This window comes from Homo sapiens, chromosome 17, assembly GCF_000001405.40.
Source record: "Homo sapiens chromosome 17, GRCh38.p14 Primary Assembly".
In the NCBI taxonomy this organism is placed as follows: Eukaryota; Metazoa; Chordata; class Mammalia; order Primates; family Hominidae; genus Homo; species Homo sapiens.
The window spans coordinates 23,600,717-23,621,928 of NC_000017.11; the positions used below are offsets into that span (position 1 = coordinate 23,600,717).

General features: G+C 40.8%; 1 annotated feature.

Annotated features, from left to right (window-relative positions):
* Positions 1 to 21,212: part of a centromere (Linear centromere model derived predominantly from reads generated in PMID: 17803354. This region does not represent an actual centromere sequence, as long-range ordering of repeats and unmapped WGS contigs is not provided by the model. For details of model production, see http://arxiv.org/abs/1307.0035.) that runs on past both edges of the window.

Consider the following 21,212-nt stretch of genomic DNA (forward strand, 5'->3'; position numbering starts at 1 on the left):
GTGATGATTGCATTCAACTCACAGAGTTGAACCCTCCTATGGATAGAGCAGTGTTGAAACTCTCTTTTTGTGGAATCTGCAAGTGGATATGTGGACCTCTTTGAAGATGTCTTTGGAAACGGGAATATCTTCACATAAAAACTAAACAGAAGCATTCTCAGAAACTTCTTGGTGATGTTTGCATTCAAATCCCAGAGTTGAACCTTCCTTTGATAGTTCAGGTTTGAAACACTCTTTTTGTAGGATCTGCAAGTGGCTATTTGGACCACTCTGTGGCCTTCGTTCGAAACGGGTATATCTTCGCATAAAATCTAGACAGAAGCATTCTCAGAAAATACTTTGTGACGATTGAGTTTAAATCACAGAGCTGAACATTCCTTTGGATGGAGCAGGTTTGAGACACACTTTTTGTAGAATCTACAAGTGGATATTTGGACCTCTCTGAGGATTTCGTTGGAAACGGGATAACTGCACCTAACTAAACGGAAGCATTCTCAGAAACTGCTTTGTGATGATTGCATTCACCTCACAGAGTTGAACATTCCTATTGATAGAGCAGTTTGGAAACACTCTTGTTGTGGAATGTGCAAGTGGAGATTTGGAGCGCTTTGAGGCCTATGGTAGTAAAGGGAATAGCTTCATAGAAAAACTAGACAGATGCATTCTCAGGAACTTTTTGGTGATGTTTGTATTCAACTCCCAGAGTTGAACTTTCCTTTGGAAAGAGCAGCTATGAAACACTCTTTTTCTAGAATCTGCAAGTGGACGTTTGGAGGGCTTTGTGGTTTGTGGTGGAAAAGGAAATATCTTCACCTAAATACTAGATAGAAGCATTCTCAGAAGCTTCTCTGTGATGACTGCATTCAACTCACGGAGTTGAACACTCCTTTTGAGAGCGCAGTTTTGAAAATCTCTTTCTGTGGCATCTGCAAGGGGACATGTAGACCTCTTTGAAGATTTCGTTGGAAACGGAATCATCTTCACATAAAAACTATACAGAAGCAGTCTCAGAATCTTCTTTGTGATGTTTGCATTCAAATCCCAGAGTTGAACTTTCCTTTCAAAGTTCACGTTTGAAACACTCTTTTTGCAGGATCTACAAGTGGATATTTGGACCACTCTGTGTCCTTCGTACGAAACGGGTATATCTTCACATGACATCTAGACAGAAGCTTTCTCAGAAAATTCTTTGGGATGATTGAGTGGAACTCACAGAGCTGAACATTCCTTGCGATGTAGCAGTTTAGAAACACACTTTCTGCAGAATCTGCAAGTGCATATTTGGACCTCTCTGAGGAATTCGTTGGAAACGGGATAATTTCAGCTGACTAAACAGAAGCATTCTCAGAACCTTCTTCGTGATGTCTGCATTCAACTCACAGTGTGGAACCTTTCTTTGATAGTTCAGGTTTGAAACACTCTTTTTGTAGAAACTGCAAGGGGATAATTGCACTTCTTTGAGGCCTACCGTAGTAAAGGAAATAACTTCCTATAGAAAGAAGACAGAAGCATTCTCAGAACCCTCTTCGTGATGTTTGCATTCAACTCACAGTGCTGAACCTTTCTTTGATAGTTCAGCTTTGAAACACTCTTCTTGTAGAAACTGCAAGTGGATATTTGGTCCTCTCTGAGGATTTCGTTGGAAACGGGATAAACCGCACAGAACTAAACAGAAGAATTCTCAGAGCCCTCTTCGTGATGTTTGCATTCAACTCACAGTGCTGAACCTTTCTTTGATAGTGCAGCTTTGAAACACTCTTTTTGTAGAAACTGCAAGTGGATGTTTGGTCCTCTCTGAGGATTTCGTTGGAAACGGGATAAACCGCACAGAACTAAAACAGAAGCATTGTCAGAAACTTCTTTGTGATGATTGCATTCAACTCACAGAGTTGAAGGTTCCTTTTCAAACAGCAGTTTCCAATCACTCTTTCTGTGGAATCTGCAAGTGGATATTTGGGCCTCTCTGAGGATTTCGTTGGAAACGGGATAAAACGCACAGAACTAAAACAGAAGCATTCTCAGAAACTTCTCTGTGATGTTTGTGTTCAACTCCCAGAGTTTCACGTTGCTTTTCATAGAGTAGTTCTGAAACATGCTTTTCGTAGTGTCTGCAAGTGGACATTTGGAGCGCTTTCAGGCCTGTGGTGGAAAACGAATTATGGTCACATAAAAACTGGAGAGAAGCCTTCTCAGAAACTTCTCTGTGATGATTGCATTCAACTCACAGAGTTGAACCCTCCTATGGATAGAGCAGTGTTGAAACTCTCTTTTTGTGGAATCTGCAAGTGGATATGTGGACCTCTCCGAAGATGTCTTTGGAAACGGGAATATCTTCACATAAAAACTAAACAGAAGCATTCTCAGAAACTTCTTGGTGATGTTTGCATTCAAATCCCAGAGTTGAACCTTCCTTTGATAGTTCAGGTTTGAAACACTCTTTCTGTAGGATCTGCAAGTGGCTATTTGGACCACTCTGTGGCCTTCGTTCGAAACGGGTATATCTTCGCATAAAATCTAGACAGAAGCATTCTCAGAAAATACTTTGTGATGATTGAGTTTAAATCACAGAGCTGACCATTCCTTTGGATGGAGCAGGTTTGAGACACACTTTTTGTAGAATCTACAAGTGGATATTTGGACCTCTCTGAGGATTTCGTTGGAAACGGGATAACTGCACCTAACTAAACGGAAGCATTCTCAGAAACTGCTTTGTGATGATTGCATTCACCTCACAGAGTTGAACATTCCTATTGATAGAGCAGTTTGGAAACACTCTTGTTGTGGAATGTGCAAGTGGAGATTTGGAGCGCTTTGAGGCCTATGGTAGTAAAGGGAATAGCTTCATAGAAAAACTAGACAGATGCATTTTCAGGAACCTTTTGGTGATGTTTGTATTCAACTCCCAGAGTTGAACTTTCCTTTGGAAAGAGCAGCTATGAAACACTCTTTTTCTAGAATCTGCAAGTGGACGTTTGGAGGGCTTTGTGGTTTGTGGTGGAAAAGGAAATATCTTCACCTAAATACTAGATAGAAGCATTCTCATAAGCTTCTCTGTGATGACTGCATTCAACTCACGGAGTTGAACACTCCTTTTGAGAGCGCAGTTTTGAAACTCTCTTTCTGTGGCATCTGCAAGGGGACATGTAGACCTCTTTGAAGATTTCGTTGGAAACGGAATCATCTTCACATAAAAACTATACAGAAGCAGTCTCAGAATCTTCTTTGTGATGTTTGCATTCAAATCCCAGAGATGAACTTTCCTTTCAAAGTTCACGTTTGAAACACTCTTTTTGCAGGATCTACAAGTGGATATTTGGACCACTCTGTGTCCTTCCTTCGAAACGGGCATATCTTCACATGACATCTAGACAGAAGCTTTCTCAGAAAATTCTTTGGGATGATTGAGTTGAACTCACAGAGCTGAACATTCCTTGCGATGTAGCAGTTTAGAAACACACTTTCTGCAGAATCTGCAAGTGCATATTTAGACCTCTCTGAGGAATTCGTTGGAAACGGGATAATTTCAGCTGACTAAACAGAAGCATTCTCAGAACCTTCTTCGTGATGTCTCCATTCAACTCACAGTGTGGAACCTTTCTTTGATAGTTCAGGTTTGAAACACTCTTTTTGTAGAAACTGCCAGGGGATGATTGCACTTCTTTGAGGCCTACCGTAGCAAAAGAAATAACTTCCTATAAAAAGAAGACAGAAGCATTCTCAGAACCTTCTTCGTGATGTTTGCATTCAACTCACACTGCTGAACCTTTCTTTGATAGTTCAGCTTTGAAACACTCTTTTTGTAGAAACTGCAAGTGGATATTTGGTCCTCTCTGAGGATTTCGTTGGAAACGGGATAAACCGCGCAGAACTAAACAGAAGCATTCTCAGAACCTTCTTCGTGATGTTTGCATTCAACTCACAGTGTTGAACCTTTCTTTGATAGTTCAGGTTGGATACGGTCTTTCTGTAGAAACTGCAAGTAGATATTTGGACCTCTCTGAGGATTTCGTTGGAAACGGGATAAACCGCACAGAACTAAAACAGAAGCATTCACAGAAAACTCTTGGTGACGACTGAGTTTAACTCACAGAGCTGAACATTCCTTTGGATGGAGCAGTTTCAAAACACACTATTTGTAGAATCTGCAAGTGGATATGTGGGCCTCTCTGAGGATTTCGTTGGAAACGGGATAAACCGCACAGAACTAAAACAGAAGCATTCTCAGAAACTACTTTGTTATGATTGCATTCAAGTCACAGAGTTGAACATTCCCTTTGACAGAGCAGTTTGGAAACTCTCTTTGTGTAGAATCTGCAAGTGGAGATATGGACCACTTTGAGGCCTATGGTAGTAAAGGAAATAGCTTCATATAAAAGCTAGACAGTAGCATTCTCAGAAACTTCTTTGTGATGCTTGCATTCAACTCACAGAGTTGAACTTTCCTTTCGAGAGAGAAGCTTTGAAACACTCTTTTTCCAGAATCTGCAAGTGGACATTTGGAAGGCTTTGAGGCCTGTGGTGGAAAAGGAATTATCTTCCCGTAAAAGCTAGATAGAAGCATTGTCAGAAACTTCTTTGTGATGATTGCATTCAACTCACAGAGTTGAAGGTTCCTTTTCAAAGAGCAGTTTCCAATCACTCTTTCTGTGGAATCTGCAAGTGGATATTTGGACCTCTTTGAAGATTTCGTTGGAAACGGGAGAATCTTCACAGAAAAGCTAAACAGAAGCATTCTCAGAAACTTCTCTGTGATGTTTGTGTTCAACTCCCAGAGTTTCACATTGCTTTTCATAGAGTAGTTCTGAAACATGCTTTTCGTAGTGTCTGCAAGTGGACATTTGGAGCGCTTTCAGGCCTGTGGTGGAAAACGAATTATGGTCACATAAAAACTGGAGAGAAGCCTTCTCAGAAACTTCTCTGTGATGATTGCATGCAACTCACAGATTTGAACCCTCCTATGGATAGAGCATTGTTGAAACTCTCTTTTTGTGGAATCTGCAAGTGGATATGTGGACCTCTCCGAAGATGTCTTTGGAAACGGGAATATCTTCACATAAAAACTAAACAGAAGCATTCTCAGAAACTTCTTGGTGATGTTTGCATTCAAATCCCAGAGTTGAACCTTCCTTTGATAGTTCAGGTTTGAAACACTCTTTTTGTAGGATCTGAAAGTGGATATTTGGACCACTCTGTGGCCTTCGTTCGAAACGGGTACATCTTCGCATAAAATCTAGACAGAAGCATTCTCAGAAAATACTTTGTGATGATTTAGTTTAACTCACAGAGCTGAACATTCCTTTGGATGGAGCAGGTTTGAGACACACTTTTTGTAGAATCTACAAGTGGATATTTGGACCTCTCTGAGGATTTCGTTGGAAACGGGATAACTGCACCTAACTAAACGGAAGCATTCTCAGAAACTGCTTTGTGATGATTGCATTCACCTCACAGAGTTGAACATTCCTATTGATAGAGCAGTTTGGAAACACTCTTGTTGTGGAATGTGCAAGTGGAGATTTGGAGCGCTTTGAGGCCTGTGGTAGTAAAGGGAATAGCTTCATAGAAAAACTAGACAGATGCATTCTCAGGAACTTTTTGGTGATGTTTGTATTCAACTCCCAGAGTTGAACTTTCCTTTGGAAAGAGCAGCTATGAAACACTCTTTTTCTAGAATCTGCAAGTGGACGTTTGGAGGGCTTTGTGGTTTGTGGTGGAAAAGGAAATATCTTCACCTAAATACTAGATAGAAGCATTCTCAGAAGCTTCTCTGTGATGACTGCATTCAACTCACGGAGTTGAACACTCCTTTTGAGAGCGTAGTTTTGAAACTCTCTTTCTGTGGCATCTGCAAGGGGACATGTAGACCTCTTTGAAGATTTCGTTGGAAACGGAATCATCTTCACATAAAAACTATACAGAAGCAGTCTCAGAATCTTCTTTGTGATGTTTGCATTCAAATCCCAGAGTTGAACTTGCCTTTCAAAGTTCACGTTTGAAACACTCTTTTTGCAGGATCTACAAGTGGATATTTGGACCACTCTGTGTCCTTCGTTCGAAACGGGTATATCTTCACATGACATCTAGACAGAAGCTTTCTCAGAAAATCCTTTGGGATGATTGAGTGGAACTCACAGAGCTGAACATTCCTTGCGATGTAGCAGTTTAGAAACACACTTTCTGCAGAATCTGCAAGTGCATATGTGGACCTCTCTGAGGAATTCGTTGGAAACGGGATAATTTCAGCTGACTAAACAGAAGCATTCTCAGAACCTTCTTCGTGATGTCTGCATTCAACTCACAGTGTGGAACCTTTCTTTGATAGTTCAGGTTTGAAACACTCTTTTTGTAGAAACTGCAAGGGGATAATTGCACTTCTTTGAGGCCTACCGTAGTAAAGGAAATAACTTCCTATAGAAAGAAGACAGAAGCATTCTCAGAACCCTCTTCGTGATGTTTGCATTCAACTCACAGTGCTGAACCTTTCTTTGATAGTTCAGCTTTGAAACACTCTTCTTGTAGAAACTGCAAGTGGATATTTGGTCCTCTCTGAGGATTTCGTTGGAAACGGGATAAACCGCACAGAACTAAACAGAAGAATTCTCAGAGCCCTCTTCGTGATGTTTGCATTCAACTCACAGTGCTGAACCTTTCTTTGATAGTGCAGCTTTGAAACACTCTTTTTGTAGAAACTGCAAGTGGATGTTTGGTCCTCTCTGAGGATTTCGTTGGAAACGGGATAAACCGCACAGAACTAAAACAGAAGCATTGTCAGAAACTTCTTTGTGATGATTGCATTCAACTCACAGAGTTGAAGGTTCCTTTTCAAACAGCAGTTTCCAATCACTCTTTCTGTGGAATCTGCAAGTGGATATTTGGGCCTCTCTGAGGATTTCGTTGGAAACGGGATAAAACGCACAGAACTAAAACAGAAGCATTCTCAGAAACTTCTCTGTGATGTTTGTGTTCAACTCCCAGAGTTTCACGTTGCTTTTCATAGAGTAGTTCTGAAACATGCTTTTCGTAGTGTCTGCAAGTGGACATTTGGAGCGCTTTCAGGCCTGTGGTGGAAAACGAATTATGGTCACATAAAAACTGGAGAGAAGCCTTCACAGAAACTTCTCTGTGATGATTGCATTCAACTCACAGAGTTGAACCCTCCTATGGATAGAGCAGTGTTGAAACTCTCTTTTTGTGGAATCTGCAAGTGGATATGTGGACCTCTTTGAAGATGTCTTTGGAAACGGGAATATCTTCACATAAAAACTAAACGGAAGCATTCTCAGAAACTTCTTGGTGATGTTTGCATTCAAATCCCAGAGTTGAACCTTCCTTTGATAGTTCAGGTTTGAAACACTCTTTTTGTAGGATCTGCAAGTGGATATTTGGACCACACTGTGGCCTTCGTTCGAAACGGGTACATCTTCGCATAATATCTAGACAGAAGCATTCTCAGAAAACACTTTGTGATGATTGAGTTGAACTCACAGAGCTGACCATTCCTTTGGATGGAGCAGGTTTGAGACACACTTTTTGTAGAATCTACAAGTGGATATTTGGACCTCTCTGAGGATTTCGTTGGAAACGGGATAACTGCACCTAACTAAACGGAAGCATTCTCAGAAACTGCTTTGTGATGATTGCATTCACCTCACAGAGTTGAACATTCCTATTGATAGAGCAGTTTGGAAACACTCTTGTTGTGGAATGTGCAAGTGGAGATTTGGAGCGCTTTGAGGCCTATGGTAGTAAAGGGAATAGCTTCATAGAAAAACTAGACAGATGCATTCTCAGGAACTTTTTGGTGATGTTTGTATTCAACTCCCAGAGTTGAACTTTCCTTTGGAAAGAGGAGCTATGAAACACTCTTTTTCTAGAATCTGCAAGTGGACGTTTGGAGGGCTTTGTGGTTTGTGGTGGAAAAGGAAATATCTTCACCTAAATACTAGATAGAAGCATCCTCAGAAGCTTCTCTGTGATGACTGCATTCAACTCACGGAGTTGAACACTCCTTTTGAGAGCGCAGTTTTGAAACTCTCTTTCTGTGGCATCTGCAAGGGGACATGTAGACCTCTTTGAAGATTTCGTTGGAAACGGAATCATCTTCACATAAAAACTATACAGAAGCAGTCTCAGAATCTTCTTTGTGATGTTTGCATTCAAATCCCCGAGTTGAACTTTCCTTTCAAAGTTCACGTTTGAAACACTCTTTTTGCAGGATCTACAAGTGGATATTTGGACCACTCTGTGTCCTTCGTTCGAAACGGGTATATCTTCACATGACATCTAGACAGAAGCTTTCTCAGAAAATTCTTTGGGATGATTGAGTTGAACTCACAGAGCTGAGCATTCCTTGCGATGTAGCAGTTTAGAAACACACTTTCTGCAGAATCTGCAAGTGCATATTTGGACCTCTGTGAGGAATTCGTTGGAAACGGGATAATTTCAGCTGACTAAACAGAAGCATTCTCAGAACCTTCTTCGTGATGTCTGCATTCAACTCACAGTGTGGAACCTTTCTTTGATAGTTCAGGTTTGAAACACTCTTTTTGTAGAAACTGCAAGGGGATAATTGCACTCTTTGAGGAGTACCGTAGTAAAGGAAATAACTTCCTATAAAAAGAAGACAGAAGCATTCTCAGTAACCCTCTTCGTGATGTTTGCATTCAACTCACAGTGCTGAACCTTTCTTTGATAGTTCAGCTTTGAAACACTCTTTTTGTAGAAACTGCAAGTGGATATTTGGTCCTCTCTGAGGAATTCGTTGGAAACGGGATAAACTGCACAGAACTAAACAGAAGCATTCTCAGAACCTTCTTCGTGATGTTTGCATTCAACTCACAGTGTTGAACCTTTCTTTGATAGTTCAGGTTGGAAACGGTCTTTCTGTAGAAACTGCAAGTAGATATTTGGCCCTCTCTGAGGATTTCTTTGGAAACGGGGTGAACCGCACAGAACTAAAACAGAAGCATTCACAGAAAACTCTTGGTGACGACTGAGTTTAACTCACAGAGCTGAACATTCCTTTGGATGGAGCAGTTTCGAAACACACTATTTGTAGAATGTGCAAGTGGATATTTGGGCCTCTCTGAGGATTTCGTTGGAAACGGGATAAACCGCACAGAACTAAACAGAAGCATTCTCAGAAACTACTTTGTGATGATTGCATTCAAGTCACAGAGTTGAACATTCCCTTTGACAGAGCAGTTTGGAAACTCTCTTTGTGTAGAATCTGCAAGTGGAGATATGGACCGCTTTGAGGCCTATGGTAGTAAAGGAAATAGCTTCATATAAAAGCTAGACAGTAGCATTCTCAGAAACTTCTTTGTGATGCTTGCATTCAACTCACAGAGTTGAACTTTCCTTTCGAGAGAGAAGCTTTGAAACACTCTTTTTTAAGAATGTGCAAGTGGACATTTGGAGGGCTTTGAGGCCTGTGGTGGAAAAGGAATTATCTTCCCGTAAAAGCTAGATAGAAGCATTGTCAGAAACTTCTTTGTGATGATTGCATTCAACTCACAGAGTTGAAGGTTCCTTTTCAAAGAGAAGTTTCCAATCACTCTTTCTGTGGAATCTGCAAGTGGATATTTCGACCTATTTTGAAGATTTCGTTGGAAACGGGATAATCTTCACAGAAAAGCTAAACAGAAGCATTCTCAGAAACTTCTCTGTGATGTTTGTGTTCAACTCCCAGAGTTTCACATTGCTTTTCATAGAGTAGTTCTGAAGCATGCTTTTCGTAGTGTCTACAAGTGGACATTTGGAGCGCTTCCAGGCCTGTGGTGGAAAACGAATTATGGTCACATAAAAACTGGAGAGAAGCTTTCTCAGAAACTTCTCTGTGATGATTGCATTCAACTCACAGAGTTGAACCCTCCTATGGATAGAGCAGTGTTGAAACTCTCTTTTTGGGGAATCTGCAAGTGGATATGTGGACCTCTCCGAAGATGTCTTTGGAAACGGGAATATCTTCACATAATAACTAAACAGAAGCATTCTCAGAAACTTCTTGGTGATGTTTGCATTCAAATCCCAGAGTTGAACCTTCCTTTGACAGTTCAGGTTTGAAACACTCTTTTTGTAGGATCTGCAAGTGGATATTTGGACCACTCTGTGGCCTTCGTTCTAAACGGGTACATCTTCTCATAAAATCTAGACAGAAGCATTCTCAGAAAATACTTTGTGATGATTGAGTTGAACTCACAGAGCTGAACATTCCTTTGGATGGAGCAGGTTTGAGACACACTTTTTGTAGAATCTACAAGTGGATATTTGGACCTCTCTGAGGATTTCGTTGGAAACGGGATAACTGCACCTAACTAAACGGAAGCATTCTCAGAAACTGCTTTGTGATGATTGCATTCACCTCACAGAGTTGAACATTCCTATTGATAGAGCAGTTTGGAAACACTCTTGTTGTGGAATGTGCAAGTGGAGATTTGGAGCGCTTTGAGGCCTATGGTAGTAAAGGGAATAGCTTCATAGAAAAACTAGACAGATGCATTCTCAGGAACTTTTTGGTGATGTTTGTATTCAACTCCCAGAGTTGAACTTTCCTTTGGAAAGAGCAGCTATGAAACACTCTTTTTCTAGAATCTGCAAGTGGACGTTTGGAGGGCTTTGTGGTTTGTGGTGGAAAAGGAAATATCTTCACCTAAATACTAGAAAGAAGCATTCTCAGAAGCTTCTCTGTGATGACTGCATTCAACTCACGGAGTTGAACACTCCTTTTGAGAGCGCAGTTTTGGAACTCTCTTTCTGTGGCATCTGCAAGGGGACATGTAGACCTCTTTGAAGATTTCGTTGGAAACGGAATCATCTTCACATCAAAACTATACAGAAGCAGTCTCAGAATCTTCTTTGTGATGTTTGCATTCAAATCCCAGAGTTGAACTTGCCTTTCAAAGTTCACGTTTGAAACACTCTTTTTGCAGGATCTACAAGTGGATATTTGGACCACTCTGTGTCCTTCGTTCGAAACGGGTATATCTTCACATGACATCTAGACAGAAGCTTTCTCAGAAAATTCTTTGGGATGATTGAGTTGAGCAAACAGAGCTGAACACTCCTTGCGATGTAGCAGTTTAGAAACACCCTTTCTGCAGAATCTGCAAGTGCATATGTGGACCTCTCTGAGGAATTCGTTGGAAACGGGATAATTTCAGCTGACTAAACAGAAGCATTCTCAGTAACCTTCTTCGTGATGTCTGCATTCAACTCACAGTGTGGAACCTTTCTTTGATAGTTCAGGTTTGAAACACTCTTTTTGTAGAAACTGCAAGGGGATCATTGCACTTCTTTGAGGCCTACCGTAGTAAAGGAAATAACTTCCTATAAAAAGAAGACAGAAGCATTCTCAGAACCCTCTTCGTGATGCTTGCATTCAACTCACGGTGCTGAACCTTTCTTTGATAGTTCAGCTTTGAAACACTCTTTTTGTAGAAACTGCAAGTGGATATTTGGTCCTCTCTGAGGATTTCGTTGGAAACGGGATAAACCGCACAGAACTAAACAGAAGCATTCTGAGAACCTTCTTCGTGATGTTTGCATTCAACTCACAGTGTTGAACCTTTCTTTGATAGTTCAGGTTTGAAACGGTCTTTCTGTAGAAACTGCAAGTAGATATTTGGACCTCTCTGAGGATTTCGTTGGAAACGGGATAACCCGCACAGAACTAAAACAGAAGCATTCACAGAAAACTCTTGGTGACGACTGAGTTTAACTCACAGAGCTGAACATTCCTTTGGATGGAGCAGTTTTGAAACACACTATTTGTAGAATGTGCAAGTGGATATTTAGGCCTCTCTGAGGATTTCGTTGGAAACGGGATAAACCGCACAGAACTAAACAGAAGCATTCTCAGAAACTACTTTGTGATGATTGCATTCAAGTCACAGAGTTGAACATTCCCTTTGACAGAGCAGTTTGGAAACTCTCTTTGTGTAGAATCTGCAAGTGGAGATATGGACCGCTTTGAGGCCTATGGTAGTAAAGGAAATAGCTTCATATAAAAGCTAGACAGTAGCATTCTCAGAAACTTCTTTGTGATGCTTGCATTCAACTCACAGAGTTGAACTTTCCTTTCGAGAGAGAAGCTTTGAAACACTCTTTTTCCAGAATGTGCAAGTGGACATTTGGAGGGCTTTGAGGCCTGCGGTGGAAAAGGAATTATCTTCCCGTAAAAGCTAGATAGAAGCATTGTCAGAAACTTCTTTGTGATGATTGCATTCAACTCACAGAGTTGAAGGTTCCTTTTCAAACAGCAGTTTCCAATCACTCTTTCTGTGGAATCTGCAAGTGGATATTTGGACCTATTTTGAAGATTTCGTTGGAAACGGGAGAATCTTCACAGAAAAGCTAAACAGAAGCATTCTCAGAAACTTCTCTGTGATGTTTGTGTTCAACTCCCAGAGTTTCACATTGCATTTCATAGAGTAGTTCTGAAACATGCTTTTCGTAGTGTCTACAAGTGGACATTTGGAGCGCTTTCAGGCCTGTGGTGGAAAACGAATAATGGTCACATAAAAACTGGAGAGAAGCCTTCTCAGAAACTTCTCTGTGATGATTGCATTCAACTCACAGAGTTGAACCCTCCTATGGATAGAGCAGTGTTGAAACTCTCTTTTTGTGGAATCTGCAAGTGGATATGTGGACCTCTCCGAAGATGTCTTTGGAAACGGGAATATCTTCACATAAAAACTAAACAGAAGCATTCTCAGAAACTTCTTGGTGATGTTTGCATTCAAATCCAAGAGTTGAACCTTCCTTTGATAATTCAGGTTTGAAACACTCTTTTTGTAGGATCTGCAAGTGGATATTTGGACCACTCTGTGGCCTTCGTTCGAAACGGGTATATCTTCGCATAAAATCTAGACAGAAGCATTCTCAGAAAATACTTTGTGATGATTGAGTTTAACTCACAGAGCTGAACATTCCTTTGGATGGAGCAGGTTTGAGACACACTTTTTGTAGAATCTACAAGTGGATATTTGGACCTCTCTGAGGATTTCGTTGGAAACGGGATAACTGCACCTAACTAAACGGAAGCATTCTCAGAAACTGCTTTGTGATGATTGCATTCACCTCACAGAGTTGAACATTCCTATTGATAGAGCAGTTTGGAAACACTCTTGTTGTGGAATGTGCAAGTGGAGATTTGGAGCGCTTTGAGGCCTATGGTAGTAAAGGGAATAGCTTCATAGAAAAACTAGACAGATGCATTCTCAGGAACTTTTTGGTGATGTTTGTATTCAACTCCCAGAGTTGAACTTTCCTTTGGAAAGAGCAGCTATGAGACACTGTTTCTCTAGAATCTGCAAGTGGACGTTTGGAGGGCTTTGTGGTTTGTGGTGGAAAAGGAAATATCTTCACCTAAATACTAGATAGAAGCATTCTCAGAAGCTTCTCTGTGATGACTGCATTCAACTCACGGAGTTGAACACTCCTTTTGAGAGCGCAGTTTTGAAACTCTCTTTCTGTGGCATCTGCAAGGGGACATGTAGACCTCTTTGAAGATTTCGTTGGAAACGGAATCATCTTCACATAAAAACTATACAGAAGCAGTCTCAGAATCTTCTTTGTGATGTTTGCATTCAAATCCCAGAGTTGAACTTTCCTTTCAAAGTTCACGTTTGAAACACTCTTTTTGCAGGATCTACAAGTGGATATTTGGACCACTCTGTGTCCTTCGTTCGAAACGGGTATATCTTCACATGACACCTAGACAGAAGCTTTCTCAGAAAATTCTTTGGGATGATTGAGTTGAACTCACAGAGCTGAGCATTCCTTGCGATGTAGCAGTTTAGAAACACACTTTCTGCAGAATCTGCAAGTGCATATTTGGACCTCTCTGAGGAATTCGTTGGAAACGGGATAATTTCAGCTGACTAAACAGAAGCATTCTCAGAACCTTCTTCGTGATGTCTGCATTCAACTCACAGTGTGGAACCTTTCTTTGATAGTTCAGGTTTGAAACACTCTTTTTGTAGAAACTGCAAGGGGATCATTGCACTCTTTGAGGAGTACCGTAGTAAAGGAAATAACTTCCTATAAAAAGAAGACAGAAGCATTCTCAGAACCCTCTTCGTGATGTTTGCATTCAACTCACAGTGCTGAACATTTCTTTGATAGTTCAGCTTTGAAACACTCTTTTTGTAGAAACTGCAAGTGGATATTTGGTCCTCTCTGAGCATTTCGTTGGAAACGGGATAAACTGCACAGAACTAAACAGAAGCATTCTCAGAACCTTCTTCGTGATGTTTGCATTCAACTCACAGTGTTGAACCTTTCTTTGATAGTTCAGGTTTGAAACGGTCTTTCTGTAGAAACTGCAAGTAGATATTTGGACCTCTCTGAGGATTTCGTTGGAAACGGGATAACCCGCACAGAACTAAAACAGAAGCATTCACAGAAAACTCTTGGTGACGACTGAGTTTAACTCACAGAGCTGAACATTCCTTTGGATGGAGCAGTTTCGAAACACACTATTTGTAGAATCTGCAAGTGGATATTTTGGCCTCTCTGAGGATTTCGTTGGAAACGGGATAAAACGCACAGAAATAAAACAGAAGCATTCTCAGTAAACTACTTTGTGATGATTGCATTCAAGTCACAGAGTTGAACATTCCCTTTGACAGAGCAGTTTGGAAACTCTCTTTGTGTAGAATCTGCAAGTGGAGATATGGACCGCTTTGAGGCCTATGGTAGTAAAGGAAATAGCTTCATATAAAAGCTAGACAGTAGCATTCTCAGAAACTTCTTTGTGATGCTTGCATTCAACTCACAGAGTTGAACTTTCCTTTCGAGAGAGAAGCTTTGAAACACTCTTTTTCCAGAATGTGCAAGTGGACATTTGGGGAGCTTTGAGGCCTGTGGAGGAAAAGGAATTATCTTCCCGTAAAAGCTAGATAGAAGCATTGTCAGAAACTTCTTTGTGATGATTGCATTCAACTCACAGAGTTGAAGGTTCCTTTTCAAACAGCAGTTTCCAATCACTCTTTCTGTGGAATCTGCAAGTGGATATTTCGACCTCTTTGAAGATTTCGTTGGAAACGGGAGAATCTTCACAGAAAAGCTAAACAGAAGCATTCTCAGAAACTTCTCTGTGATGTTTGTGTTCAACTCCCAGAGTTTCACGTTGCTTTTCATAGAGTAGTTCTGAAACATGCTTTTCGTAGTGTCTGCAAGTGGACATTTGGAGCGCTTTCAGGCCTGTGGTGGAAAACGAATTATGGTCACATAAAAACTGGAGAGAAGCCTTCTCAGAAACTTCTCTGTGATGATTGCATTCAACTCACAGAGTTGAACCCTCCTATGGATAGAGCAGTGTTGAAACTCTCTTTTTGTGGAATCTGCAAGTGGATATGTGGACCTCTCCGAAGATGTCTTTGGAAACGGGAATATCTTCACATAAAAACTAAACAGAAGCATTCTCAGAAACTTCTTGGTGATGTTTGCATTCAAATCCCAGAGTTGAACCTTCCTTTGATAGTTCAGGTTTGAAACACTCTTTCTGTAGGATCTGCAAGTGGCTATTTGGACCACTCTGTGGCCTTCGTTCGAAACGGGTATATCTTCGCATAAAATCTAGACAGAAGCATTCTCAGAAAATACTTTGTGATGATTGAGTTTAAATCACAGAGCTGACCATTCCTTTGGATGGAGCAGGTTTGAGACACACTTTTTGTAGAATCTACAAGTGGATATTTGGACCTCTCTGAGGATTTCGTTGGAAACGGGATAACTGCACCTAACTAAACGGAAGCATTCTCAGAAACTGCTTTGTGATGATTGCATTCACCTCACAGAGTTGAACATTCCTATTGATAGAGCAGTTTGGAAACACTCTTGTTGTGGAATGTGCAAGTGGAGATTTGGAGCGCTTTGAGGCCTGTGGTAGTAAAGGGAATAGCTTCATAGAAAAACTAGACAGATGCATTCTCAGGAACTTTTTGGTGATGTTTGTATTCAACTCCCAGAGTTGAACTTTCCTTTGGAAAGAGCAGCTATGAAACACTCTTTTTCTAGAATCTGCAAGTGGACGTTTGGAGGGCTTTGTGGTTTGTGGTGGAAAAGGAAATATCTTCACCTAAATACTAGATAGAAGCATTCTCAGAAGCTTCTCTGTGATGACTGCATTCAACTCACGGAGTTGAACACTCCTTTTGAGAGCGCAGTTTTGAAACTCTCTTTCTGTGGCATCTGCAAGGGGACATGTAGACCTCTTTGAAGATTTCGTTGGAAACGGAATCATCTTCACATAAAAACTATACAGAAGCAGTCTCAGAATCTTCTTTGTGATGTTTGCATTCAAATCCCAGAGTTGAACTTTCCTTTCAAAGTTCACGTTTGAAACACTCTTTTTGCAGGATCTACAAGTGGATATTTGGACCACTCTGTGTCCTTCGTTCGAAACGGGTATATCTTCACACGACATCTAGACAGAAGCTTTCTCAGAAAATTCTTTGGGATGATTGAGTGGAACTCACAGAGCTGAACATTCCTTGCGATGTAGCAGTTTAGAAACACACTTTCTGCAGAATCTGCAAGTGCATATTTGGACCTCTCTGAGGAATTCGTTGGAAACGGGATAATTTCAGCTGACTAAACAGAAGCATTCTCAGAACCTTCTTCGTGATGTCTGCATTCAACTCACAGTGTGGAACCTTTCTTTGATAGTTCAGGTTTGAAACACTCTTTTTGTAGAAACTGCAAGGGGATAATTGCACTTCTTTGAGGCCTACCGTAGTAAAGGAAATAACTTCCTATAGAAAGAAGACAGAAGCATTCTCAGAACCCTCTTCGTGATGTTTGCATTCAACTCACAGTGCTGAACCTTTCTTTGATAGTTCAGCTTTGAAACACTCTTCTTGTAGAAACTGCAAGTGGATATTTGGTCCTCTCTGAGGATTTCGTTGGAAACGGGATAAACCGCACAGAACTAAACAGAAGAATTCTCAGAGCCCTCTTCGTGATGTTTGCATTCAACTCACAGTGCTGAACCTTTCTTTGATAGTGCAGCTTTGAAACACTCTTTTTGTAGAAACTGCAAGTGGATGTTTGGTCCTCTCTGAGGATTTCGTTGGAAACGGGATAAACCGCACAGAACTAAAACAGAAGCATTGTCAGAAACTTCTTTGTGATGATTGCATTCAACTCACAGAGTTGAAGGTTCCTTTTCAAACAGCAGTTTCCAATCACTCTTTCTGTGGAATCTGCAAGTGGATATTTGGGCCTCTCTGAGGATTTCGTTGGAAACGGGATAAAACGCACAGAACTAAAACAGAAGCATTCTCAGAAACTTCTCTGTGATGTTTGTGTTCAACTCCCAGAGTTTCACGTTGCTTTTCATAGAGTAGTTCTGAAACATGCTTTTCGTAGTGTCTGCAAGTGGACATTTGGAGCGCTTTCAGGCCTGTGGTGGAAAACGAATTATGGTCACATAAAAACTGGAGAGAAGCCTTCTCAGAAACTTCTCTGTGATGATTGCATTCAACTCACAGAGTTGAACCCTCCTATGGATAGAGCAGTGTTGAAACTCTCTTTTTGTGGAACCTGCAAGTGGATATGTGGACCTCTCCGAAGATGTCTTTGGAAACGGGAATATCTTCACATAAAAACTAAACAGAAGCATTCTCAGAAACTTCTTGGTGATGTTTGCATTCAAATCCCAGAGTTGAACCTTCCTTTGATAGTTCAGGTTTGAAACACTCTTTCTGTAGGATCTGCAAGTGGCTATTTGGACCACTCTGTGGCCTTCGTTCGAAACGGGTATATCTTCGCATAAAATCTAGACAGAAGCATTCTCAGAAAATACTTTGTGATGATTGAGTTTAAATCACAGAGCTGACCATTCCTTTGGATGGAGCAGGTTTGAGACACACTTTTTGTAGAATCTACAAGTGGATATTTGGACCTCTCTGAGGATTTCGTTGGAAACGGGATAACTGCACCTAACTAAACGGAAGCATTCTCAGAAACTGCTTTGTGATGATTGCATTCACCTCACAGAGTTGAACATTCCTATTGATAGAGCAGTTTGGAAACACTCTTGTTGTGGAATGTGCAAGTGGAGATTTGGAGCGCTTTGAGGCCTATGGTAGTAAAGGGAATAGCTTCATAGAAAAACTAGACAGATGCATTCTCAGGAACTTTTTGGTGATGTTTGTATTCAACTCCCAGAGTTGAACTTTCCTTTGGAAAGAGCAGCTATGAAACACTCTTTTTCTAGAATCTGCAAGTGGACGTTTGGAGGGCTTTGTGGTTTGTGGTGGAAAAGGAAATATCTTCACCTAAATACTAGATAGAAGCATTCTCAGAAGCTTCTCTGTGATGACTGCATTCAACTCACGGAGTTGAACACTCCTTTTGAGAGCGCAGTTTTGAAACTCTCTTTCTGTGGCATCTGCAAGGGGACATGTAGACCTCTTTGAAGATTTCGTTGGAAACGGAATCATCTTCACATAAAAACTATACAGAAGCAGTCTCAGAATCTTCTTTGTGATGTTTGCATTCAAATCCCAGAGTTGAACTTTCCTTTCAAAGTTCACGTTTGAAACACTCTTTTTGCAGGATCTACAAGTGGATATTTGGACCACTCTGTGTCCTTCGTTCGAAACGGGTATATCTTCACACGACATCTAGACAGAAGCTTTCTCAGAAAATTCTTTGGGATGATTGAGTGGAACTCACAGAGCTGAACATTCCTTGCGATGTAGCAGTTTAGAAACACACTTTCTGCAGAATCTGCAAGTGCATATTTGGACCTCTCTGAGGAATTCGTTGGAAACGGGATAATTTCAGCTGACTAAACAGAAGCATTCTCAGAACCTTCTTCGTGATGTCTGCATTCAACTCACAGTGTGGAACCTTTCTTTGATAGTTCAGGTTTGAAACACTCTTTTTGTAGAAACTGCAAGGGGATAATTGCACTTCTTTGAGGCCTACCGTAGTAAAGGAAATAACTTCCTATAGAAAGAAGACAGAAGCATTCTCAGAACCCTCTTCGTGATGTTTGCATTCAACTCACAGTGCTGAACCTTTCTTTGATAGTTCAGCTTTGAAACACTCTTCTTGTAGAAACTGCAAGTGGATATTTGGTCCTCTCTGAGGATTTCGTTGGAAACGGGATAAACCGCACAGAACTAAACAGAAGCATTCTCAGAGCCCTCTTCGTGATGTTTGCATTCAACTCACAGTGCTGAACCTTTCTTTGATAGTGCAGCTTTGAAACACTCTTTTTGTAGAAACTGCAAGTGGATATTTGGTCCTCTCTGAGGATTTCGTTGGAAACGGGATAAACCGCACAGAACTAAAACAGAAGCATTGTCAGAAACTTCTTTGTGATGATTGCATTCAACTCACAGAGTTGAAGGTTCCTTTTCAAACAGCAGTTTCCAATCACTCTTTCTGTGGAATCTGCAAGTGGATATTTGGGCCTCTCTGAGGATTTCGTTGGAAACGGGATAAAACGCACAGAACTAAAACAGAAGCATTCTCAGAAACTTCTCTGTGATGTTTGTGTTCAACTCCCAGAGTTTCACGTTGCTTTTCATAGAGTAGTTCTGAAACATGCTTTTCGTAGTGTCTGCAAGTGGACATTTGGAGCGCTTTCAGGCCTGTGGTGGAAAACGAATTATGGTCACATAAAAACTGGAGAGAAGCATTCTCAGGAAAATACTTTGTGATGATTGAGTTTAAATCACAGAGCTGACCATTCCTTTGGATGGAGCAGGTTTGAGACACACTTTTTGTAGAATCTACAAGTGGATATTTGGACCTCTCTGAGGATTTCGTTGGAAACGGGATAACTGCACCTAACTAAACGGAAGCATTCTCAGAAACTGCTTTGTGATGATTGCATTCACCTCACAGAGTTGAACATTCCTATTGATAGAGCAGTTTGGAAACACTCTTGTTGTGGAATGTGCAAGTGGAGATTTGGAGCGCTTTGAGGCCTATGGTAGTAAAGGGAATAGCTTCATAGAAAAACTAGACAGATGCATTCTCAGGAACTTTTTGGTGATGTTTGTATTCAACTCCCAGAGTTGAACTTTCCTTTGGAAAGAGCAGCTATGAAACACTCTTTTTCTAGAATCTGCAAGTGGACGTTTGGAGGGCTTTGTGGTTTGTGGTGGAAAAGGAAATATCTTCACCTAAATACTAGATAGAAGCATCCTCAGAAGCTTCTCTGTGATGACTGCATTCAACTCACGGAGTTGAACACTCCTTTTGAGAGCGCAGTTTTGAAACTCTCTTTCTGTGGCATCTGCAAGGGGACATGTAGACCTCTTTGAAGATTTCGTTGGAAACGGAATCATCTTCACATAAAAACTACACAGAAGCAGTCTCAGAATCTTCTTTGTGATGTTTGCATTCAAATCCCCGAGTTGAACTTTCCTTTCAAAGTTCACGTTTGAAACACTCTTTTTGCAGGATCTACAAGTGGATATTTGGACCACTCTGTGTCCTTCGTTCGAAACGGGTATATCTTCACATGACATCTAGACAGAAGCTTTCTCAGAAAATTCTTTGGGATGATTGAGTTGAACTCACAGAGCTGAGCATTCCTTGCGATGTAGCAGTTTAGAAACACACTTTCTGCAGAATCTGCAAGTGCATATTTGGACCTCTCTGAGGAATTCGTTGGAAACGGGATAATTTCAGCTGACTAAACAGAAGCATTCTCAGAACCTTCTTCGTGATGTCTGCATTCAACTCACAGTGTGGAACCTTTCTTTGATAGTTCAGGTTTGAAACACTCTTTTTGTAGAAACTGCAAGGGGATCATTGCACTCTTTGAGGAGTACCGTAGTAAAGGAAATAACTTCCTATAAAAAGAAGACAGAAGCATTCTCAGAACCCTCTTCGTGATGTTTGCATTCAACTCACAGTGCTGAACCTTTCTTTGATAGTTCAGCTTTGAAACACTCTTTTTGTAGAAACTGCAAGTGGATATTTGGTCCTCTCTGAGCATTTCGTTGGAAACGGGATAAACTGCACAGAACTAAACAGAAGCATTCTCAGAACCTTCTTCGTGATGTTTGCATTCAACTCACAGTGTTGAACCTTTCTTTGATAGTTCAGGTTTGAAACGGTCTTTCTGTAGAAACTGCAAGTAGATATTTGGACCTCTCTGAGGATTTCGTTGGAAACGGGATAACCCGCACAGAACTAAAACAGAAGCATTCACAGAAAACTCTTGGTGACGACTGAGT